This window comes from Homo sapiens, chromosome 7 (assembly GCF_000001405.40).
Source record: "Homo sapiens chromosome 7, GRCh38.p14 Primary Assembly".
Taxonomy (NCBI): Eukaryota; Metazoa; Chordata; class Mammalia; order Primates; family Hominidae; genus Homo; species Homo sapiens.
In genome coordinates, this window is record NC_000007.14 from 91458549 (window position 1) to 91484949 (window position 26401).

The window sequence follows — 26401 nt, forward strand, 5'->3', positions numbered from 1 at the left end:
ATAAAATAAATCTCAATACATTTCAGCAAAGCATGTTCTCTGACTAGATAGAAATTACGTTAATAACCATAAATAAGTTGTCACAAAAATGGAAATAAAATTACACACTTTTCAGTAACCCATGGGTTAAAGAAGTAATGAAAAGGGAAATTAGAAAATAAAAGTGAAAGATAATGAAAACACAAAATATCAAAATCTGTGAGATATTTAAAGCAGTGCTGATAAATTCATTTCTTTTGTGCTTATTCTAAAAAATAAAGTTTTAAAAATCTATTTCAACTTTTAAAAACTAGAAAAAGGATAGCAATGTAAATAAGAAAAAGGACATAATAATGACAAGGGCAAAAATAAGGAAATAAAAAAACAGACTGTACCCGAGAGAGAGAAGGAACATAGATTTTCAATATCAGAAATGAAAGAGAAGTATACTACAGATGCTAATGAAAACTAATAGGAAAATATCACCAACATAAAATAGTGAAATACCTTGAAAAATACATCTCACCCAATCTGACTCAAAAAATAAAAAATGTAAATAGCCCTATATCTATCAAGAAATTAAATTCATAATTAAAATTATAAGCATATATTAAAATTCAGAATTTAAAACCTTCTAATTTATTTTCAAACATTGGTATTTTAATAATACAATTTCTATCAATAACACCAACTTTACATCATCTCTTTCAGAATTCCAATAAGTATACAAAATGTGGCTCAATATTGTTAGCCATTCCTCTAAGTGTAAATTACAACCAGAAATCATACCAGTTCCTACCCATTATAATAGCTAAAATTAAAAAGACTGACAATTCTCAGTGTTAGTAACAATGTGTAGCAAGTGGACGTCTCCTAGATTCTGTTGGGAGTGTGTAAAACCACTTTTGAAAATAGTGTGACAATTTTTATATAGTTATATGTCACTTAAAAATGGGAATACATTCTGAGAAATATATCATTAGGTGATTTCCTTATTGTGAGAACATCATAGAGTATATGTATGTGCACACCTAGATGATATAACTTACTACACACCTAGGCTAAATGGTACATCCAAACATAGAAAAAGTACAGTAAAACTGTAAGTATAAAGTTTTAAAGACGGTGTACCTGTATAGAGCACTTACCATGAACAGAGCTTGCAGGACTGGCAGTTGCTCTGGGTGAGTCAGTGAGTGACTGGTGAATGAATGTGAAGGCCTAGGACTCACTGTACACTAAAGAGACTTTATAAATACTATACACTTAGCCTACATTAAATCTATTTTTTAAAAATTTCAGGCCCAGCATGGTGGCTCAGCACTTTGGGAGGCCAAAGCAGGAGGGTTGCTTGAGGCCAGGAGTTTGAGACGAGCCTGGACAACATAATGAGACCTCATGTCTACTAAAAATAAAAGAATTAGACAGGCTGGTTGGCGCTTGCCTGTAGTGCCAGATACTGGAGAGACTGAGGTGAAAAGATCCTGTGAGTCCAGGAGTTTGAGCTTGCAGTGAGCTATGATCATGACACTGCACTCCAGCCTGGGTGACAGAGCAAGACCCTGTCTCAAAACAAACAAACAAACAAACAAACAGCAACAACAAAAAGAAGTTCTTTCTTCAATAACATATTAACTTTAGCTTACTGTAACATTTTTACTTTATAAATTTTTAATTTTTTTAGCTTTTAGACTTTCGCAATAACACTTAGCCTAAAACACAAACACACGGTACAGCTGTACAAAAACATTTTCTTTCTTTATATCCTTATCCTATTTTTAAAATGTTTCTTTTTCACTTTTAAAACTTTTTTGTTAAAAACTAAAACAAAAATACACATATTAACCTAGGCCTACACAGGGTCAGGATCATCAAGACATCATGGGGCAATAGGAAATTTTCAGCTCCCATGTAATCTTATGTGACCACCATCCTATATGCAGTTCATTATTGACAAAAACGTCATGGTGTGGCCTATGACTGTAGTCAAATATGAATTTCCCATGTAACTGAGCAACTCTACTCTTCATCATTTACCCAGGAAAGAAAACATTTTGCCAAAGTATTAGATGAAGAGTCATTTTCTATGAAGAATAAGTATTCAATAACCATTTCCAGCGTTCCCCACTATTATCCTGGACTAGATGAATATAAAAGATATATTATCTGCCTTATGGAAACTGCCTTCTAAGATTAAAAAATAATCAAAATATACTTGAATTTCAAAAATTTAAAATCCACTTTGAATTGTACTTGCACAAGTTTTCATTTTTACATAATAGATCTAACTAGTTAGGGAGCTGTTTCTTTCTTGATGGCCTATCCAAGAAATAATTTTCTTTAATTTCTAGGCTCTTGAAATGATTGATGAATCTATAGAAGAGCTTTCTGTGCTGGTTCTCAGTGAATCACCAGAAAGACTCATGAGTTTCTTTTAACATTTCAAAGCTATTCAAAAGTGCAGTCCAATTTGGTAATTGAAAGAGTGATTATTCTCTTTGTGAATTATATAGCTTCTCTGTTTCTCTTATTCTTTGGTTATTTTATCCCCACTTGTCTGTTTCTCCATTGGAAAAGAGGCTTGGACACTAGAAGAAAGCCAGGTCATAGTTAAGTAAATATGTTTACTTGGCAAATACCTCAATTTGTGGGGAGAAATGAACACTGTAGTTTAAATAATGGTTTTAGAATTATCTTAAACTTTTTTTATGACAAGCTTCGTATCTTGACACTACTGATGTGGGGTGTGTGTATGTTGGGGTGGGGGAGGAAAGAGAGATGGTTATGATAAACAGTAGACTCAATAGTTCGAACATAAAACATAAAACTAGTTTTATTTTTAAAAACTGTTACTTGTCAAAGTAGACTTTTTTTTCTCCTGTTTAACATGCTACCTCTTAGTCATGGAGTAGCTATGAGCACAACCAATGTCATTCTTTAAAAAATTATTCCAATGGGGGCAATACTGGTCTTGGGAAGGAAAGCCTACACTTGATGCAATAATATATGGTTAACAAATTCACAATTGAGTGACTTTTCTTGCAGCTGTGGTTCAAATTATAGACATTTCAGATGTTTAATGGTGACTTTAATTTACTGTGAGGAAGTGTATGATGAGCATCTGGAAGGACATGATTTTACTTTAATCATTTTGATTTAGGTGATAGTAATTACAAGTATCATCATGGTCTGTAGAGAAAACATTGGTTTTACTGTTACCTGCCAGGACTTGTTTCCATCCTTTACCAGGGCATTTTTTTCTTGGACCAGGAGGAGTTAAATCATCATTCTGAAATTTCCTTTGCTACTTAAGTGCCTGGCATGATCATGGATTCATAATAATGGAACAAATTGATGAGTTTACTTAGCCAAAATGACTACGGTTTAAAAGATTAGGAATAATGGTGTTTAAGTTAACTGGGAAAAGCAGTGTTAATCTGCCCCAGAAACTTTACAGCTAAGTAGATGCAGCAATTTGAAAGACCTTGAAGTAACATAAACTGCTTCTGACTGTGCAGGTAGTTTTAGGAAAAGTTTCACTAAGTGCTTAGCCAAGAAGGCATTAAGTATGGAATGAGGCAAAAGCCTTTCTCTTAGCTCTTCAGTCATTCTATTTCCTGTTTTAACAAATACAAAAAAGAGACTTAAACTCAACAACAAAATATCTCAGCTAACTAAGAGGTTTTTCAACCCAGAGGGACTATTCAGAAGATAGGAATAAACATACTTCAATATGGAGACATCATTAAGCATATGTAGCACATGGCAGATATCAATAATATTTATTGAATGAATATATGAAAATACCACCAATCAAAACTTTATTAGAAGTCAGTTGTTGAACAGCTACTAGATTGTAAATTTATCTTACAAATATGAGAATCATGGTTTAAAAAATATGTGGAATCCCCTAAAGACTACTTCTCCATTGAAAAGATCCAATTCTGTTCTTGGCTCAGCTAATATCGTTCTTCTGGGCTCTCTGCCTCTTATATTTTTTTATCTGTAATATGGGGGCCACAGCATATTTTCTTTCTACATCACTAAGTTGTGGTGAAGATCACTTGAGCAAATAGCAATGTGTCAGAAACTGAAGAGAGTTGAAAGATGTAGTGTTTTCTATATTATTCTATTTATGTTTTCCTAGGTACTCCCTTTTCTCTTGTTCCTCTCCCACATAAATACTGCTGATAGGGGCAGGAGGCAGACATATCCCTAGGCAGATGAGGCGGGTTTCTGGTGAAACCCCACCTTCAAACCAAAGACACTTTAAAGCCTGAAAGCCAAGCTACAAGTCTTGATAAATCAATGGACCAGATTCAGAATCTCTCTTCCCGTGTGGCGCACTTTCCTCTGATAGATCTCTGCCCTTCTCCTATTTTACATATACCTACCCTTCCCTAGCTGGGTTTTTACACTGTCATACCCATCTTTGAGTGCTGTCTTTGTTTTAGCCTTTTTTGCATACTCACAAATCAATCAGCATGCACTCCCTTATTCTGAGCCCCTAAAAACCCCGGATTCATCCACACTTTGGGACTGCCCGCCTTTAGGTGGGAAGAGACCACCCAACTTCGGAGAGGGGGCTGCACTCTGGGGTCCTCTCTCTGCTGAGACCTGTCGCTCAGTAAAACTCTCCTCACCTTCGGTTGTCAGGGTAACCTCTTTATTCTTGGAAGTGAAACAAGAACTCGGGACCTGCCAAAATTGAGTACCAGAAAGGCTGTAACACTGTAGCCCTCCACCCTCTGCCAGAGGTGGGAAGCCATCCCACATTACGCGAAGACACCCCACATCACGGGAAGCCGTGGCAGGGCTAGGCCAGCCCCAGAGCCGTGGTCAAGAACAGGGCCACGGGACTAAAAGAGCTGTTAGCACACTGTAAAACACCCCCCTGGGCTTCACGGTTGCTGGCATCCCTGTTCAGGTGACACAGCATTCCCCTCGTCCAGACTCCACGCCCAAGGCAGAAGCAGGTTGTGGCATACCCAGCCCAGCTGCGGGCTGAGCGCGGATCCCGTGGCGAGTGTGGGATCTGCGCAGGAGTGCAAGCCAGGCGCAGTTCACTGGGCTGGGTGGAGAGGGTACCTCCTGTGGTGAGTCCGGGGCTGAGCCAGGCACAGGCAGGGGCATCACTGGCCATGGAGGTCTCCAGCTGGTGACGTGGCTCTGAGAAAAATCCTGCACAACTGCTAAAGGTATTTGAGATCCAGGCAGTGTGCTTTTTTCTGGACGTTATAAATAAGCCATGCTTTTGGTCCTGAGGTCACTCAGAGGTTATACTCAATTATTCCAGAGTCAATTAGGCCCAGTCCTGTTTAGCTAGGTTTGCTCTCTCTTGGGCTGTTTCTCTTGAAGCAATTTTTCTCCATATTAGAACCTCTCTCTAAGGATACATAGCAGAAATTAAAGAATGCCAACATCATATTTTCTTAGAGTTTAAAAAAAGGCATTAGGGACCTCAGCACAGACCGTCCTGTTACCTAAGCATAAGGTCACACAAAGTTCCTTGGTCATGAGAGACCACATCTACATATAGCAAAGCTGAGTACAGTGAGCCGAGATCGCGCCACTGCACTCCAACCTGGGCGACAGCGAGACTCTGTCTCAAAAAAAAAAAAAAAAAAAAAAAAGCTGAGTATTCCCCAGCTCCCTATCCAGTGCTTTTTTCATGACTCCAGTCTAATTAGTCTGGTAAAGATGCTTTTGGCATAGAGGAGTTGAAGGTCTTAGTTGAAGTGGGGGTAATCTTTTTGCCCTGTCTTTTCTACCATCTTTGCCTGGGTATTTGATAGGTGACTTTGAATGTGGAGTCTCAGAACCTGTAGTGAAGATTTTTAAAACTATGAACTCTGCAGGTCCCGGTTTTGTCCTTTAGTTCATTATTTGGAATCCATAAAACACAGATTCTATGAAGAGAAACTCCTAATGCCAGATGCTTTTAGTGGTTAGGTTATTATTATTTTTTAAAGTAGCAACTTCCAGACTCTAGTCAAAGTATATCCTGGACTTATAAATTATGGAATTTGTACTTAAGTACAAATTTATTTTGTACTTTTTTGTTTATTTTACGGAAATTTGAACTAAATATTCCCCAGGTAAAGGTATCATGATGGATGGAGGTCTCCCAACATAATTTCCTCCTTATCCAATTAGTCTACCAATCCTGCTAATCCCGTTCACCCTGCCAGTGCCTGGTTTAGGAAAAGCATGTGATCTGATTGTAACCAATGATCCATTAAGGAAGGTCTGCTAGGTGGGGTTGGGAATTATGGGAAAGATTTCCTTGCTCCTAAAAAGTTAACAAGGAAGACATGGCCCATTTTCTTTCTCTAGACACAGTTATATCCGGATGTGATGCCTAGAACTGCTACAGCCATCCTGATGTCTGCCTGAGAATGAACCCGACCAGAAAGCATTGTAGACCCAAAGTGGGTGTTAGAGAGGTAGAGACAGAGACCTGAGAAACTGTGTCTTTGGGAAATAATTATTTTAACCTGTTTAATAGAAGTTTTCTGTTAACTGCAGCTGAAGGCATTCTAATTGAAAATGTGGGTGACAGAAATTCTAACTTTATCCTTGATAACCCACCCTCACACCCTCATCTCTGAAAATGCTTTGAAAAATAGTTTGCTGATACATGGCCATTCTCTGTGAATTTCTCTCTAAGGAAATGTGGCTCTCAGAACACAGAAATAAAAATTATTTATAAAGACCCTTCCTAGATAATCTACTCTGCTTCAGGTGGGTTGGATAAAGGATAGAATTAGTTCAGGTATTAGAGAGAAAAGTCAACCAACAAGCCTATTAAGTGTCTACTTGTGCCCAGTATTTTACCCAAAACTTAATCGAGTAGATAAATTATTTGTATTTTTTCTTGAGAAAGATTGTTCATACTTGATTATTAGTTTCTAAAGAAAGTATTCTTAATTCCAAGCCTAATAGCTCTTATGTCATTAGTTTCTAGTGCAGAGAAATGTACTTGATGAATTTGTGTTGACTTTTTTTTTTGCTAGCCAATATGAAGGTTGCCAGTCCCTGCCAAAATCAGCACTAAAACTATTTTTCATGAGTAATAACAATAATATTCTTTTTTAAATAGCACCTTTAACCCAAAAATCTTAAGCCTATATAAACATTCACTCAACAATACACTCAAAATCTCAGTATTTGGTTGATGGGGAAATTAACCTAGATGCAAGAACATGGAAATAAAGATAGAGCCTAGAATACTGACTCACAATAGTCTTTCAGTCTATTGTCCCCACCTAACTATTCAAGAAAAATAAAAAGTACAGCGGCTTCAGCAGTATAAACACCTAAGCTTTTCCATCCCCAGCTGATGATTCATTATTTCCCTTTTCCTGCTGTTTAAAATTATTTTTTATTTTTATTACATTTTATTTTTGACAGTGAGACATCTACATGTCAAAGGGTAAGGAAATTGAGCTGGTTAAAACTATCTAAATTTCTTGCATCTGCAAAAAATGACTTGGCAATATTTGAGGAGTGACGTTTCTTTAGATACTTACAGAGCTTCCTGTTGGGCTAAAGTATTGTCAAAACAATTTTTTTCTTGGTTCTTAAGTAATTCTCTTTATAAATTGAAAGGGAAGAGAAATTGGAATCAAATTTTATAAGAATAAGAAATAATAATGCATTAACTTTCCAATATTCTGAAGTTCACCAGATTATGAGGAAAGCTTTGAACTCCACGATTTGGGACTTAGGATAAGCAGAAGCTAGGTAGAAGTCCATCTTTGACCAACAATATAAATTTTTAAGAAAATTTAGTGACCAGGGGTAGTGGCTCATGCCTGCAATCCCAGCACTTCGGGAGCCTGAGATGAGTGGATTGCTTGAGGTTAGGAGTTGGAGACAAGTCCGGGTAATATGGCAAAACCCCGCTTCTACCAAAAGTGTTCAAATTAGCTGGGCATGGTGGCACACATCTGTAGTCCCAGCTACTCGGGAGGCTGAGGTAGGAGGATTGCTTGAGCCTGGAAGGTCAAGACTGCAGTGAGCTGTGATTATGCCATTCATTGCACTCCAGCCTGGGTGACAGAATGAGACCCTGTGATATAGTTTGGCTGTGTCCTCACTCAAATCTCTCATTGAACTGTAATAATCTCCACCTGTTAAGGGTGGGGCCAGGTGGAGATAATTGAATCATGGAGGTGGTTTCCCCCATACTGTTCTTGTGGTAGTGAATAAGTCTCACGAGATCTGATGGTTTTATAAATGAGAGTTTCCCTGCAAAAGCCTTCTTGCCTGCCCACCATGTAAGACTTGACTTTGTTCCTCCTTTGCCTTCCAGCATGATTGTGAGGCCTCCCCACCCACATGGAATGGTGAGTCAACTAAACCTCTTTATAAATTACCTGGTCTTGGGTATGTCTTTATTAGCAGTGTGAGAACAAACTAATACACCCTATACCCCAAAAATTTTTTAAAAAGGAAAAAAAAGAAAATTCATAGTAAAACTAAGATTTTATGATATTGTATTTGACAGATGACAAACTTTTTGAATACAAACAAATGAAAATTAACAAGCTAATTATAAATTAGCAATTTTCCTTATTAAAGTAAATTCATTAGGGTCTTGACGTGACAACATTTAGATGAATCCATTGTTGGCAATTGATGATTACTCTAAATTCCTAAAGACTTGGAATTGAAAGATCCTCACAGAAATTAGTAAGAATGCATTTTTTAAAGGTAATTTTACTTATTCAGTTTTAGTACTCTTCCATTGGGGTCTATGTTAGCCAGGGGTCTGAGTCAGTCTATAAAGCATCATGTGAACACGGCCGGTCAGCTCTCAGAAGGCAGTTTCACAGTGAAGATCTTACTAAAATATCCCCATCACATTTTCCTGCTGCTGAGTTCACAAAGAGAGCACAGAGGCAAATGTGGGTTTTCCTTTAGTTTACATTTTCAGCCTTCCATCAATAACTCTCAGCCATCCTTGTCAGGGACCTACACTGAAGCTGTGATTTCATAAATTGCATAAAAGGATTCATTAATGCTGAAGTTTAATATGAAAATCAACATATCACAGGAAACATTCTAGATTTAGTAGGTGGTGCCACTTACAATTTAGTGGAATGCCAAATCATATGTTTTATTGGAGATATACTTTATTTCTTTTTTATATTAGGCAAGATCTGTCCATCTGTTATTCTGGTTGTTAAACTTGCTCTGAAATAATAACTGACAGGTAATTTCTAATTTTCAAGGAACTTTATTATTACATCGAATGCTCACAACTGCCCTATGAAATAACTTGGAAAAACATTATTATCCCCACCATTGTCACTTGCCCTTGGTGGCTCAGCTGTTTAGCTGGCATTAGAATCCAGTCTCCTGATTTTTTATCCATTGATCTTTTTTTCTCCATCATTGTAACTTTCTTACAATCCTGAAATATGTGTGGATTATCCCTCACCTAACTCATTTATGTTAAAATATTGTCACTATCATCTTTATTTTCCTGTACTTCCTCCGTAAGAACTGAATCACCACATAAATCCCCATTTCTAGGCATAATATCTCTTTAGTGTTGCTATAAATTATTCAATAGATTTATCCTGCTTCTCAAAGGCTGATAAGCTTCATTGTGGAGATCATCTCTCCGCTGCATGCTATTATTGTTACCCCACTGGAACAAGTCTGCATGAAAAATCCCTTATAAAATCTTTATAATCTGAAATTGCTATAAATTACCCAATTCAGGAAGGAGAAAATAATAAAACATATCCACACCATACCCAGATTTTTGAAATGGTTGAGCCAACTTTACTACTCTACCATGGAAGAAATCCAAAGATCAACAAACCCAGGCCCTCTGTAAGTCTCTTCATTATTATGTCTCTGCTATCACAAAGTATGTTATCTGGCATCAAAATTACATTAATACTGTATTCACATTGCTCTTGCAAGAAACAAATACTTCTTTGTGTCTGAATTTTCCACATGGTTGCCCTGATGAAACATATGCCATTGGAGGACAAATATATTGATGCAAGTGAAAAAGAGCAATTTAATTCCAGAACCTAGTTAGAGATAAAAGATGCCATCTCCTTATTTCCTGAAATGCAGCTTATATAAAATGCCACACTGGGCTTAATTTGTGGAGAAAAAGCATGCTGCAACTTCATAACTGACAATTTTTCTAACTTGACATTTTGTTCATTCCAAAAATGCTGAACCAAATTGTGGGCAACTTCTTCCCACCACTTCTGGCAAACCCATTCAGTAACTCTTAATGTTATTATTGAAGATGAATGAGCCACCCAAGCTTTTAGAAACTCAATTCCAAAAAAATCTCTATAAGATTTTGGTACAAATGCAAAGAGCCAAATTTTGAAATTTCCTGGATCTGCAAAAATATTTTTTCCTGGGAGGACTTGCAGTGCTTCCTTTCTGGTTAAGCTGTGATTCTACAAACTTTCCTTGAAAACTGTGGTACTCCTGCCAGAAATTGAAGAATAAAAGGAAGAAACTGTAAACCCTTAAAAATAGTTATCTAGAATAATTATCAGTAAGTACAGATTTCATTGAGTAATTACTTGCTGGAACACTTGTTCTAAAAGGAGAGATTTTTGCAAAAGAATAAGATTATTTCATTCTCAATCAGCACATCTAAGCCACTCAGCTTCCACATTTCAGACTGAAGCTGAGGTAACTCTTTCCCAAATACTTGATGAAAAGTGAAAAACTAAAACAAGTTTCAACAGTTATGCAGGGCACAATCTGAATGAGTTCAGAAGATTTGTGTCTTATTATTTTTATTGAATTTACTTGTAACAGTATACAAGTTTAGACATAGACTTGGATATTTCCACAGGGTCTGGAAGAAACAGCATACTGGCCCTGAAATGCTGATATGACATTCATTCTCTGAAAATAGCACACACCTCTTCCATCATCATGCAGCCCAGTTCCCGATGTATATAGGGCAATTCATAAATAATGAATGGATGAATAAATAGGAATAGAGTGTTTGCTGTTTGGTAAATTGTGCCTTCCTTCTCTTGGGAGACATAACCATTCATTTTCATACAGAGAGCCCTTGAAAAAATAATTTGAGCTTGATGCTAAGGGTCAAATGAGAGTTAGGAGAAGTGGAGCAAAGGATGCAAACAGTGCTAGTCATACCTTAACTAAACTGGTAGTCGTTTCCTATTCCTACTTTGGAATTTGTCTCCACATTAGTTCTCTTTAAGGAAAAATAACAGGAAATTCATGCTTTAACTGTTACTTAAAAACTAAAATGAAATGAACCAAAAGAAACAACAACACCACCACCAAAACAATCCTAGACCTTAACCCTTTTCTGGAATTTGAAAGTTGGTCTTGAAATACTTTGGTTCACAGCATTTTGAAGTTGAACAGAAGCACACTATATCCTGGGTTAGAAGGACTTTTGCAGGTTTGCAGAAGGTTTTTATATATCCAGCAGATAAAAGTCTCTCTTTGGTAATATTTGCCAGCCCATCTGATCTCTCCCCATGTGCAGAATTCCCATTGGCTTTACAGGGATTTTGACTAGAAGTAAGACGTAAAATCCCAGATCCCACCAAGCACTTAGAACAAAGGAACACATTTTTGTTCTACTTTGACTTCCTAGTTACAAATATTTTCTAACTTGTTAGAATCAATTAAGAGGTAAATTATATCATGTTAAAAGAAGAAAATGGAAGAATCTAATGGATCTTAAGTGTCACAATTCAAGCACGTCGGAATGAGTCTTCTGATCCAAATTGGGTTTGTGGCTGGTCAAGCAACAACAAAGAGGGAGGAGTAAAATATAAATAGCTCTGTATAATAAAAAGAGGTAAATTACTGTATGACCAGAGTTACTAATTGTAGGATAATATGTGACTGACAACAATGGTTTTGCTTTATAGACAGAATTAGGTATGAGGCTTATGTCATTGTTAGTAGTAATTGAGGTTGGAGAGACTCAGGGAAGGGCTGCTAGGAGAGAAAGAGGAATTTGCCAAATCTATTGAATACCTATTACAGGTCTACTATAGTCACTGTATTAATAGTTCAAGAACAAATTATACAGAGATGTAATTGTTTATAAACACAGTTTCATCCTATGCTTTGTCTCATTTTAATTTTTTAAAACTTTTTAAAAATTTCAGTAGTTTTGGGGGAACAGGTGATGTTTCATTACATGGATAAGTTCTTTAGTGGTAATTTCTGAAATTTTGGTGCACCCATCACCCAAGCAGTGTACACTGTACCCAACGTCTAGTCTTTCATCCCTCATCCCCCTCCCATTCTTCCCTCTGAGTCCCCAAAGTTCATAATTCTTATGCCTTTGAATCCTCATAGCTTAGCTCCCACTTACAAGTGAGAACATATACTGTTTGGTTTTCCGTTCCTGAGTTACTTCAGTTAAAATAGTGGTCTCCAATTCCATCCAGGTTGCTGAGAATGCCATTATTTAATTCCTTTTTATGGCTGAGTAGTATTCCATAGTATATACATACCACATTTTCTTTATGCACTCATTGATTGATGGGCATTTGGGCTGGTTCCATATTTTTGAAATTGAAAATCACATTGCTATAAACATGCATGTGCAAGTGTCTTTTTCATATAATGACTTCTTTTCCTCTGGGTAGATGCCTAGTAATGGGATTGCTGGGTCAAATGCTAGATCTACTTTGAGTTCTTTAAGAAATCTCTATACTGTTTTTCATCATGGTTGTACTAGTTGACATTCCCATCAGCAGTGTAAAAGTGTTCCCTTTGCATCACATCCATGCCAACATCTGTTGTTATTTTTATTTTTTAATTATGGCCATTCTTGCAGGAGCAAGGTGGTATCGCATTGTGGTTTTGATTTGCATTTCCCTAGTAATTAGTGATGTTGAGCATTTTTTCATATGTTTGTTAGCCATTTGTATATCTTCTTTTGAGAATTGTCCATTCATGTCCTTTGACCACTTTTTAATGGAATTATTTCTTTTTTCTTGCATATTTGTTTGAGTTCCTTGCAGATTATGGATATTAGTCCTTTGTTGGATGCATAATTTGCAAAAATTTTCTCCTACTCTGTGGATTTTCTGTTTACTCTGTTGTTTATTTCTTTTTCTGTGCAGAAGCTTTTTAGTTTAATTAAGTCCCATCTGTTTATGTTTGTTTTTATTGCATTTGCTTTTGGGTTCTTGGTCATGAACTCTTTGCCTAAGCCAATTTCTAGAAGAGTTTTTCCCATGTTATCTTCTAGAATTTTTATGGTTCTTGTCTTAGATTTAAGTCTTTGATCCATCCTCAGTTGATTTGTGCGTACAGTGAGAGATGAAGATCCAGTTTCATTCTTCTACGTGTGGCTTGCCAATTATCCCAGCACCATTTGTTGAATAGGCTGTCCTTTCACCACTTTATGCTTAGGAATAGGCACACAGACCAATGGAACTAATGGACAGAGCCCCCCAACCCCCAAGTCAAAAGAATTGAGGTTTATTCCCCGTCTTGTCTTTAATGCACTGGGGGCCTTTGGTGATTAGTGGACAACTTCAGCCTGCATATCAACTGGAGCACTAAAGGGCTTACTCATATACACTAACTCAAGTTCAAAAACTGGCTATTGTTGAGGAAGAGCCAAACAAGTTGCAATTGAATTAACACTTAATGCATTCAAGTGGCTCGTTATAAAGCCCAAATAGTTGTAAGATTTAACTCTTGATATACTAGTTATCATGGTTGTGTGATATTTTTTCCTGTCTGCTAAAGTTAATTGTCATCTATAAAACTCTAAACTTACATCCTTTTATTCTTTGTCTAGAAATTATCTCAGGAAATTAACCTATATAAATTCTGGCTATAAACAATGTTCACCATAATGTTATTTATAATGGCTCCCAAATTTAAAGGACCATAAATATCCACAAATGTGATATTTGTTAAATAAAGTTGAAATAAGATATAATGGGAGATGACCTTTTATTATTATTAATTTTTACTTTTCAAATTTTAAATTGAAGAATTATAGATGTATATATTTATGGATTACAAAGTAATGTTATGATTTATGAATAAACGTGGAATAATTAAAACTAATTAACATATCTATCACCTGAAATGTTTATTTTTTTGCGGTGACAACATTTAAAATTTACTCTCTTAGTGATTCTGGAATGTATAATACATCATGTTTTATGATATTCACCATGCTGTGCAATATATCTCAAAGGAAAAAAATCCTTATTAGTCCTATTTGAGGCTTTCTGCCCTTTCACCATCATCTTCCCTTCTCTCCCACCCTCCCAGCCTCTGGTAGCCACCATCCTACTCTCTGCTTATTTGTGTCTGATTATCTTAGATTCCATGTTTGAGCACATGTGCTATTTGTCTTTCTGTGCCTAGCTTATGTGGGAGATGATTTTTTTTTAATGAAAAAATGCCAGCAAAAATGGTAGTAGGAAACTCGAAGGGCCCATCGCTCAATAGAAACCCCGAAAAGACTAGAAAACACTGTCAGAATCAACTTTGTCAGAACTCTGAAAAATTATCAGACTTAAAGCAGCCAAGCAAATGCTTAACCAAAAAAGGGGTAACTAAAACCTGGTAAGAGAGCTTTGTGGCATTTTAACTTACCTTTGTTTCCACCCCCTCTAGTGCGATGGCATTGAAGATGACAATCCAGTTCCTGATGTGTGTTCCTCGTGATGGTGGGAGCAAAGTGAATTTTGTTTTCAAATAACTGTCATTGTCAGTTTTGACCTATCAAGTGGCTCCCTGAAACACTAACACAGAAAGCATGCCTCTATTGTGCTTAACTTGGAACTCTCTCAGGGTTGAGAAATGGCTATGAAACTGAACAGCTACTGTCACTTAGGGCAAAGGAGATCAGTTGGGGTAAACAATAGACACACTGAAAAGCCTGGGAAGAAAAGCTGGGTAGTAAGATGTTTTGGAGTATAAAGACTTCAAAAAGGTTTTTAAAATTATGGAAATTTAGTCATACGCATGCCCAGGATGGGCACATACTCCTAATATATCTGAGAACATCCTAAGCTTTTACCTCTGGCTGACCTTCAAGTTCCACATAGGCAGGAAATGAAGGCAAAGGCAGAGTTGTAAACTTTCCAGCTGAATAGTTAAAGTGTGCACTAACATAAACACAAATACACACAGAGCTCAGTTCCAAAAGACTAGAAGGCTTCATTTGTTTGTTTTGTGTTCGTGTGTGTGATTCCAAGTGTTTAAGGAAATCTGTCAAGTCACTAGCTAACCACTAAGTTAATAGAATAGAGATTTTAGAGACCACACATGACAAAGAATATAGTCTTTACAAAAATGGTTTAGAAAATTGACTTAACAAATAAATATAACCCACCACAAGTAGCAACAAGAAACCCTGGGAAAGGGGGAGAGTCTGATTTCTAGATTTCCCATATTATAATATTCAAAATGCCCTGTTTTTTTTTGTTTGAAATTATGAGGCATGCAAAGAAACAAGAAAGTATGGCCCATTCACAGGAACAAAAGAAATTAACAGAAACTATCCCTGAGGAAGCCCAGCCATTGGACTTAATACACAAAGCTTTTAAAGCAATTGTCTTAAATATGCCCAAAGAGTTAAAGAAAGCCATGGACTAAGAACTAACAAAAATTGAGATTAATTCTCAATAAACATAGAATATCAATAAGGAGCTAGAGCTTATAAAAAGGAACCAAATGGAAATTCTGGAGATGAAAAGTACAATAACTGAAATGAAAAATTCACTAGAGGGACTCAGTAGCAGATCTGAGCAAGCAAAAGAAAAAGTAAATTTGAAAGTAAGTTAATGGAAAGTATTCAGTTGGTGAGCAAGGGAAAAAAAGGAACAAGGAAAAATGAACGGCACCTCAGAGTGCCATGTGACACTATCAAGCTTACCAACATAAGTATAATGATGGACCAGGGGTAAGGGGAGAAAGGAACAAAAATAATATTTTAAAAAATAATGGCCAAAAATGTCCCAAATTTGATGAAAGACATAGATCTATACCTCCAAGTAGCTGAACAAACTCTAAATAGAATAAACTCAAAGAGTTTCACAGTCAGATACATTATAATCAAACTGTTCAAAGACAAAGAGTGTTTTCTAAAGCATTAAGAGGCAAGCAATTTGTTATGTACCGGGGATCCTCAATAGGATCAACAACTGGTATCTCATCGGAAACCATGGAGGCCAGAAGGCAGTGGAATGAGATATTTAAAGTGCTGAAAGAAAAAACTATCAGCTAAGAGAGCCATATCTAGAAAAACCATCCTTCAAAAGTGAAGGATATATTAGGGCATTTCCAGATAAAAGCTGAGGGAATTCATCACTCTGCTTATAGACCTGCCCTATAAGAAAATCCAAAATGAGTCCTTCAGGCTGAAATGAAGGGCACTAGATAGTAACTTGAAGCCATACAAATATATAAAGAACACTAGTAAAAAGAATTAAATATGTAAATATAAGAGCCAGTATTATTGTATTTTTGGTTTGTAATTCCTTTTTTAAATGACTTAAAAATCCACAAAACAATAATTATAAATCTATGTTCATAGACACACTACGTATAAAGATGTAATCTGTGATGATAACAAGACAAAGGGTAAGGGACAGAAGTATATAGGAGAGTTCTTTATCCGATTGAAGCTCAGTTGATATTAATTAAAACTATGTTGTTGTACATATAAGATATATAATTGTAATCCCTAGGGTAACCACTAAGAAAATACTTGTTTAAAGATAAAGAAAAGCAAAAGTAAAATCAAAACAGTGCACTAGGAAAAAAATCAGCTAAACACAAATGTAGGCAGTCATAGAGGAAATGAGGAACAAAAAAGATATAAGACATGTAGAAGACAAGTAGCAAAATGGCAGAAGTAGATCCTTCCTTATCATCAATTATTTTAAATGTAAATTGATTAAACTCTCCAATTAAGAGACAGAGATTGGCAGAAGGGATTTAAAAAAACTGACCCAACTTGTACTGTCTACAAAATACTCACATTAGATTCAAAGGAACAAATAGGTTGAAAGTGAAAGTATGGAAGAAATATATTCCTTGCAAACAGTAGCCAAAAGACAGTGGGACTTCTTATATTAATGTCAGATAAATTGATTTTAGGTCAAAATTGTTACAAGAGACAAAGAAGGATATTATATATAGACAATGTCAATATATCAAGAAGATATAACAATTATAAATTTATACCCACCTAACTACAGAGCCCCAAGATATATTAAGCAAAAATTGACATAATTGGAGGGAGAAATAGGAAATATTACTAATTGTTGGAGACTTCAATTCCCCACTTTCAACAGTGGGTGAAACAACTAGCCAGAAGATTAATAGGGATATAAAGGATTGGAAGAACACTATAAACCAACTAGACCTAATAGACATATACAGAACATGCCACACAACAACACATATGCACATACAACATTCTCCAGGATAGACCATATGTTAGGCTGCAAAATGAATATTAACAGATTTTAAAACATTGAAATTATAGGCCGGTTGTGGTGGCTCACACCTGTAATCCCAGCACTTTGGGAGGCTGAGGCAGGTGGACCACTTGAGGTCAGGAGTTCAAGACCAGCCTGGCCAACATGGTGAAAACCTGTCTCTACTAAAAATATGGAAATTAGCCAGGTGTGGTGGTGTACACCTGTAATTCCACCTACTTGGGAGGCTGAGGTGGAGGATCACTTGAACCCAAGAGGCGGAGCTTGCAGTAAGCCGAGATTGCACCACTGCACTCCAGCCTGGGTGACAGAGCAAGACTCCATGTTTTTAAAAAAAAAAAAAAAGAAAAAAAGGAAATTATACAAATTATCTTCTGTGACCAAAATGGAATAAAATTAGAAATCAATAATAGAAGGAAATGACACTTCACAAGTATATAGAAATTAACACAATCTTAAGCAACTACAATTACAATGGGAAATTAGAAAATACTTTGATATGAATGAGAATGAAAACATGATCCAAGGACTCTAATGGATTAAATATAACCACTAAAACGTATATGCAAGTATATGCATTGATATAGAAAAATGTTGGCCTGGTGCAGTGGCTCATGCCTATAATCCCAGCACTTTGGCAGGCTGAGGTGGGCAGATTGCTTGAGCATGGGAATTTTTTTTTTTTATACTTTGAGTTTTAGGGTACATGTGTACAATGTGCAGGTTAGTTACATATGTATACATGTGCCATGCTGGTGCGCTGCACCCACTAACTCGTCATCTAGCATTAGGTATATCTCCCATTGCTGTCCCTCCCCCCTCCCCCCACCCCACAACAGTCCCCAGAGTGTGATGTTCCCCTTCCTGTGTCCATGTGTTCTCATTGTTCATTTCCCACCTATGAGTGAGAACATGCGGTGTTTGGTTTTTTGTTCTTGTGATAGTTTACTGAGAATGATGATTTCCAATTTCATCCATGTCCCTATAAAGGACATGAACTCATCATTTTTTATGGCTGCATAGTATTCCATGGTGTATATGTGCCACATTTTCTTAATCCAGTCTATCATTGTTGGACATTTGGGTTGGTTCCAAGTCTTTGCTATTGTGAATAGTGCCACAATAAACATACGTGTGCATGTGTCTTTATAGCAGCATGATATATAGTCCTTTGAGTATATACCCAGTAATGGGATGGCTGGGTCAAATGGTATTTCTAGTTCTAGATCCCTGAGGAATTGCCACACTGACTTCCACAAGGGTTGAACTAGTTTACAGTCCCACCAACAGTGTAAAAGTGTTCCTATTTCCCCACATCCTCTCCAGCGCCTGTTGTTTCCTGACTTTTTAATGATTGCCATTCTAACTGGTGTGAGATGATATCTCATTGTGGTTTTGATTTGCATTTCTCTGATGGCCAGTGATGGTGAGCATTTTTTCATGTGTTTTTTGGCTGCAAAAATGTCTTCTTTTGAGAAGTGTCTGTTCATGTCCTTTGCTGACTTGTTGATGGGGTTGTTTGTTTTTTTTCTTGTAAATCTGTTTGAGTTCATGTAGATTCTGGATATTAGCCCTTTGTCAGATGAGTAGGTTGTGAAAATTTTTTCCCATTTTGTGGGTTGCCTGTTCACTCTGATGGTAGTTTCTTTTGCTGTGCAGAAGCTCTTTAGTTTAATTTGATCCCATTTGTCAATTTTGTCTTTTGTTGCCATTGCTTTTGGTGTTTTAGACATGAAGTACTTGCCCATCCTATGTCCTGAATGGTAATGCCTAGGTTTTCCTCTAGGGTTTTTATGGTTTTAGGTCTAACGTTTAAGTCTTTAATCCATCTTGAATTGATTTTTGTATAAGGTGTAAGGAAGGGATCCAGTTTCAGCTTTTTACGTACAGCTAGCCAGTTTTCCCAGCACCATTTATTAAATAAGGAATCCTTTCCCCATTGCTTGTTTTTCTCAGGTTTGTCAAAGACCAGATAGTTGTAGATATGCGGCGTTATTTCTGAGGGCTCTGTTCTGTTCCATTGATCTATATCTCTGTTTTGGTACCAGTACCATGCTGTTTTGGTTACTGTAGCCTTGTAGTATAGTTTGAAGTCAGGTAGTATGATGCCTCCAGCTTTGTTCTTTTGGCTTAGGATTGACTTGGTGATGCGGGCTCCTTTTTGGTTCCATATGAACTTTAAAGTAGTTTTTTCGAATTCTGTGAAGAAAGTCATTGGTAGCTTGATGGGGATGGCATTGAATCTATAAATTACCTTGGGCAGTATGGCCATTTTCATGATATTGATTCTTTCTACCCATGAGCATGGAATGTTCTTCCATTTGTTTGTATCCTCTTTTATTTCATTGAGCAGTGGTTTGTAGTTCTCCTTGAAGAGGTCCTTCACATCCCTTGTAAGGTGGATTCCTAGGTATTTTATTCTCTTTGAAGCAATTGTGAATGGGAGTTCACTCATGATTTGGCTCTCTGTTTGTCTGTTATTGGTGTATAAGAATGCTTGTGATTTTTGTACATTGATTTTGTATCCTGAGACTTTGCTGAAGTTGCTTCTCAGCTTAAGGAGATTTTGGGCTGAGACAATGGGGTTTTCTAGATATACAATCATGTCGTCTGCAAACAGGGACAATTTGACTTCCTCTTTTCCTAATTGAATACCCTTTATTGCCTTCTCCTGCCTGATTGCCCTGGCCAGAACTTCCAACACTATGTTGAATAGGAGTGGTGAGAGTGGGCATCCCTGTCTTGTGCCAGTTTTCAAAGGGAATGCTTCCAGTTTTTGCCCATTCAGTATGATATTGGCTGTGGGTTTGTCATAGATAGCTCTTATTATTTTGAGATACGTCCCATCAATACCTAATTTATTGAGAGTTTTTAGCATGAAGGGTTGTCGAATTTTGTTAATGGCCTTTTCTGCATCTATTGAGATAATCATGTGGTTTTTGTCTTTGGTTCTGTTTATATGCTGGATTACATTGATTCATTTGCGTATATTGAACCAGCCTTGCATCCCAGGGATGAAGCCCACTTGATCATGGTGGATAAGCTTTTTGATGTGCTGCTGGATTCGGTTTGCCAGTATTTTATTGAGGATTTTTGCATCAATGTTCATCAAGGATATTGGTCTAAAATTCTCTTTTTTGGTTGTGTCTCTGCCTGGCTTTGATATCAGGGTGATGCTGGCCTCATAAAATGAGTTAGGGAGGATTCCCTCTTTTTCTATTGATTGGAATAGGTTCAGAAGGAATGGTACCAGTTCCTCCTTGTACCTCTGGTAGAATTTGGCTGTGAATCCATCTGGTCCTGGACTCTTTTTGGTTGGTAAGCTATTGATTAATGCCACAATTTCAGTTCCTGTTAGTGGTCTATTCAGAGATTCATCTTCTTCCTGGTTTAGTCTTGGGAGAGTGTATGTGTCGAGGAATTTATCCATTTCTTCTAGATTTTCTAGTTTATTTGCATAGAGGTGTTTGTAGTAATCTCTGATGGCAGTTTGTATTTCTGTGGGATCGGTGGTGATATCCCCTTTATCATTTTTTATTGCATCTATTTGATTCTTCTCTCTTTTTTTCTTTATTAGTCTTGCTAGCAGTCTACCTATTTTGTTGATCCTTTCAAAAAACCAACTCCTGGATTCATTAATTTTTTGAAGGGTTTTTTGTGTCTCTATTTCCTTCAGTTCTGCTCTGATTTTAGTTATTTCTTGCCTTCTGCTAGCTTTTGAATGTGTTTGCTCTTGCTTTTCTAGTTCTTTTAATTGTGATGTTAGGCTGTCAGTTTTGGATCTTTCCTGCTTTCTCTTGTGGGTATTTAGTGCTATAAATTTCCCTCTACACACTGCTTTGAATGCGTCCCAGAGATTCTGGTATGTTGTGTCTTTGTTCTCGTTGTTTTCAAAGAACATCTTTATTTCTGCCTTCATTTCGTTATGTACCCAGTAGTCATTCAGGAGCAGGTTGTTCAGTTTCCATGTAGTTGAGCAGTTTTGAGTGAGTTTCTTAATCCTGAGTTCTAGTTGGATTGCACTGTGGTCTGAGAGATAGTTTGTTATAATTTCTGTTCTTTTACATTTGCTGAGGATAGCTTTACTTCCAAGTATGTGGTCAATTTTGGAATAGGTGTGGTGTGGTGCTGAAAAAAGTGTATATTCTGTTGATTTGGGGTGGAGAGTTCTGTAGATGTCTATTAGGTCCTCTTGGTTCAGAGCTGAGTTCAATTCCTGGGTATCCTTGTTAACTTTCTGTCTCAGTCATCTGTATAATGTTGACAGTGGGGTGTTAGAGTCTCCCATTATTAATGTGTGGGAGTCTAAGTCTCTTTGTAGGTCACTCAGGACTTGCTTTATGAATCTGGGTGCTCCTGTATTGGGTGCATATATATTTAGGATAGCTAGCTCTTCTTGTTGAATTGATCCCTTTATCATTATGTAATGGCCTTCTTTGTCTCTTTTGATCTTTGTTGGTTTAAAGTCTGTTTTATCCGAGACTAGGATTGCAACCCCTGCCTTTTTTTGTTTTCCATTTGCTTGGTAGATCTTCCTCCATCCTTTTATTTTGCGCCTATATGTGTCTCTGCATGTGAGATGGGTTTCCTGAATACAGCACACTGATGGGTCTTGACTCTTTATCCAGTTTGCCAGTCTGTGTCTTTTAATTGGAACATTTAGTCCATTTACATTTAAAGTTAATATTGTTATGTGTGAATTTGATCCTGTCATTATGATGTTAGCTGGTGATTTTGTTCAGTAGTTGATGCAGTTTCTTCCTAGTCTCGATGGTCTTTACATTTTGGCATGATTTTGCAGCGGCTGGTACCGGTTTTTCCTTTCCATGTTTAGTGCTTCCTTCAGGAGCTCTTTTAGGGCAGGCCTAGTGGTGACAAAATCTCTCATCATTTGCTTGTCTGTAAAGTATTTTATTTCTCCTTCACTTATGAAGCTTAGTTTGGCTGGATATGAAATTCTGGGTTGAAAATTCTTTTCTTTAAGAATGTTGAATATTGGCCCCCACTCTCTTCTGGCTTGCAGAGTTTCTGCCGAGAGATCCGCTGTTAGTCTGATGGGCTTCCCTTTGTGGGTAACCCGACCTTTCTCTCTGGCTGCCCTTAACATTTTTTCCTTCATTTCAACTTTGGTGAATCTGACAATTATGTGTCTTGGAGTTGCTCTTCTCGAGGTGTATCTTTGTGGCGTTCTTTGTATTTCCTGAATCTGAACGTTGGCCTGACTTGCTAGATTGGGGAAGTTCTCCTGGATGATATCCTGCAGAGTGTTTTCCAACTTGGTTCCATTCTCCCCGTCACTTTCAGGTACACCAATCAGACGTAGATTTGGTCTTTTCACATAGTCCCATATTTCTTGGAGGCTTTGTTCATTTCTTTTTATTCTTTTTTCTCTAAACTTCCCTTCTCGCTTCATTTCATTCATTTCATCTTCCATCGCTGATACCCTTTCTTCCAGTTGATCGTGTTGGCTCCTGAGGCTTCTGCATTCTTCACGTAGTTCTCAAGCCTTGGCTTTCAGCTCCATCAGCTCCTTTAAGCACTTGTCTGTATTGGTTATTCTAGTTATACATTCGTCTAAATTTTTTTCAAAGTTTTTAACTTCTCTGCCTTTGGTTTGAATTTCCTCCTGTAGCTCGTAGTTTGATCGTCTGAAGCCTTCTTCTCTCAACTCGTCAAAGTCATTCTCCATCCAGCTTTGTTCCATTGCTGGTGAGGAACTGCGTTCCTTTGGAGGAGGAGAGGCTCTCTGCTTTTTAGCATTTCCAGTTTTTCTGCTCTGTTTTTTCCCCATCTTTGTGGTTTTATCTACTTTTGGTCTTTGATGATGGTGATGTACAGATGGGTTTTTGGTGTGGATGTCGTTTCTGTTTGTTAGTTTTCCTTCTAACAGACAGGACCCTCAGCTGCAGGTCTGTTGGAGTTTGCTAGAGGTCCACTCCAGACCCTGTTTGCCTGGGTATCAGCAGCGGTGTTTGCAGAAGAGCGGATTTTCATGAACCGCGAATGCTGCTGTCTGATCGTTCCTCTGGAAGTTTTGTCTCAGAGGAGTACCCGGCCATGTGAAGTGTCAGTCTGCCTCTACTGGGAGGTGCCTCCCAGTTAGGCTGCTCAGGGGTCAGGGACCCACTTGAGGAGGCAGTCTGCCCATTCTCAGATCTCCAGCTGTGTGCTGGGAGAACCACTGCTCTCTTCAAAGCTGTCAGACAGGGACATTTAAGTCTGCAGAGGTTACTGCTGTCTTTTTGTTTGTCTGTGCCCTGCCCCCAGAGGTGGAGCCTACAGAGGCAGGCAGGCCTCCTTGAGCTGTGGTGGGCTCCACCCAGTTCGAGCTTCCTGGCTGCTTTGTTTATCTAAGCAAGCCTGGGCAATGGTGGGTGCCCCTCCCCCAGCCTCCCTGCCACCTTGCAGTTTGATCTCAGACTGCTGTGCCAGCAATCAGCAAGACTCCCTGGGCATAGGACCCTCCGAGCCAGGTGTGGGATATAATCTCCTGGCGCGCTGTTTTTTAATCTGTCAGAAAAGCTCAGTATTCGTGTGGGAGTGACCCGATTTTCCAGGTCCCGTCTGTCACCCCTTTATTTGACTAGGAAAGGGAACTCCCTGACCCCTTGCACTTCCCAAGTGAAGCAATGCCTCTCCCTGCTTCAGCTCGCACATGGTGCGCTGCACCCACTGTCCTGCGCCCACTGTCTGGCACTCCCTAGTGAGATGAACCTGGTACCTCAGATGGAAATGCAGATACCACCGGTCTTCTGCATCGCTCACGCTGGGAGCTGTAGACCAGAGCTGTTCCTGTTCGGCCATCTTGGCTCCTCCCCTGAAAATTGAGCATGGGATTTTAAGAGCAGCCTAGGCAACGTAGCAAGACCCTGTCTCTAAAATAAATAAATAAATAAATAAATAATAAACTGAAAATATATGTAATTTTTTTAGTGTTGACATTACATCAAGTTTAAAAAGAAAAGGTCCAGCTGCAAAATATAGGTGTGTACAGAAGGATTTCTTCAAAATGCCTCAGACACATGTATTCACACAAACAGAAGAGCATCTAAACAGTTACACAGCAGAAGTCCATTTTGGTTATCTTTAATTGATCATTTCAGATATTGTACTTACTTTTTTCTTCCTGTTTTTCTGTATTTTCTAATTTTCCCCAATGGATATGTATTACTTAAGTATATTTTAAATGAAATTTTAAAAAACAAAATGTAATGAAAAATAAATAGGTGCTGTTATGAGAAAATAATTGGACATGTGGGTTTTGATAGGATTCTGTTGTAATTTTTTAAAACATAAAGTCATTGAAACAAGCAGATAAAAAAATGAAATAGAGATTACTTAAAACCAGGAAATCTCAACAAAATTATTACATAATGTAAGCTTTTGAAGAATTTTTCAATCAGAATATTTAGCTACTGCCCTAATATCTCTTTGATGTGATTTACAGTTGGATAACAGGCTTCAAGGAGAAAGTAAACATACCCTAACATTAAGATGCAATATTTCAGGTGAATGATTATTTCACTACCAGTATTTGGAGCAGCCATTTCAGGATGATTGATCCTCTGGGAAAAAGAAAGAAATTTCCCGTCTTTGGCAACCTGGAGCTCTTTAGGGCTCTCAGCAGTGCTTGCTTTCTTTTTACATTGTTGGAAATCCAGTTGTATTAGATTAGCTGCAAGGATTAAAGTGTTACGGGAATGAAATATCCAAATATATTTTCTCTCTGAAGCCTTGTCTTTATTCTGATATAAGGAAAGTTTTATCATCTCAAAGTCCCTGTAAATTTAGTAAGGGAAAAACTCAAGTCATAAAATGTAAATCAAATCATAAAGTATGGACTTAAATGGCAATGGAAAAGCAAGAGGAGGCCTCTTTCTTTTTTTTTTTTATTTCTGACATTATTACCAAATATGGATCCTCTTTATGAAAGAATTAAGCTTGAGAACAGAGCCGAGAACAGGGACACTGACAGCACTCTTTCTGTTATTTTCTGTAATATAAGATGCTACTCTATAGGCAAGTTTTAAAAAATCCAATTTAAAACACACAAGAATAATATGAGGATTAGTCTATGTTTGCAAAACACCTTAAATTTCTGAGAAGAAATTCAGTTCTGCATGATCCCTGACATTTCTGAACCCCGCAGCCTGTTTCTCACTAGCTTTGTTCTCAGAAAATAGGACCTCAGCTACCAGTGTGCTGCGTTTTCTAGTTTTCCTTGGTATTTAGCTAAGGGATGAGCCTTCCCCATTTTTGTATGTAAATTATTCCTGCCTCTTTGACCACAAGAAGGAACTTTTTTTAACTTTTATTTTAAGTTCAGGGGTACAAGTACAGGTTTGTTACATAGGTAAACGTGTGTCATGGGGTTTGTTGTACAGATTATTTCATCACCCAGGTATTAAGCCTAGTACCCATTAGTTATTTTTCCTGATCCTCTCCCTCCTCCCACCCTCCACCCTCCAAAAGGCCCCAGTGTGTGTTGTTCCCCTCTCTGTGTCCATGTGTTCCTATCATTTAGCTCCCACTTATAAGTGAGAACATGCGGTACTTGGTTTTCAGTTCCTGCGTTAGTTTGCTAAGGATAATGGCCTCCAGAACCATCTGAAGAAAGAACCATTTAAGTGTGTTGACTATAATTTAGATCTGTTTTATGACAAACAGTAACATGACATTGCATATCAAATTCAGGAATGAAAAACATGACAATTTGCAATGTCCCAGAACTACCTAGAGAGAAATTTCTGATTTCCTTCCACAGGTGGGGCCCTGAAAAATCTCAGGAAAATTGATCTGGCTTTCTCAGAATTCCAAAGGATGCTTCTGACTTGCACTATTGTAAGAAGAGCTACCCGACTACAATCTTTTGTTTGTTTCTATCCTCTTTCATTAGACTGTGGACATTTTCACAGTCAGTAACATTTTCTAACATATCCCATTGCCTT

At 37.5% G+C, this 26401-nt stretch overlaps 1 long non-coding RNA gene across 10 annotated transcripts in view; it reads left to right on the forward strand.

Annotated features, from left to right (window-relative positions):
* Positions 1–26401, forward strand: part of LINC02932 (long intergenic non-protein coding RNA 2932) — a 204101-nt gene that overhangs the window by 147224 nt on the left and 30476 nt on the right. For 8 of the 10 annotated variants that reach the window (NR_183366.1, NR_183367.1, NR_183372.1 and 5 more), the window contains one exon: positions 8297–8330. The exons of the other annotated variants lie outside the window; for them this stretch is intronic. This is a non-coding gene — a long non-coding RNA (long intergenic non-protein coding RNA 2932). The remainder of the gene's footprint in view (positions 1–8296; positions 8331–26401) is intronic. 10 annotated transcript variants of the gene reach the window in all.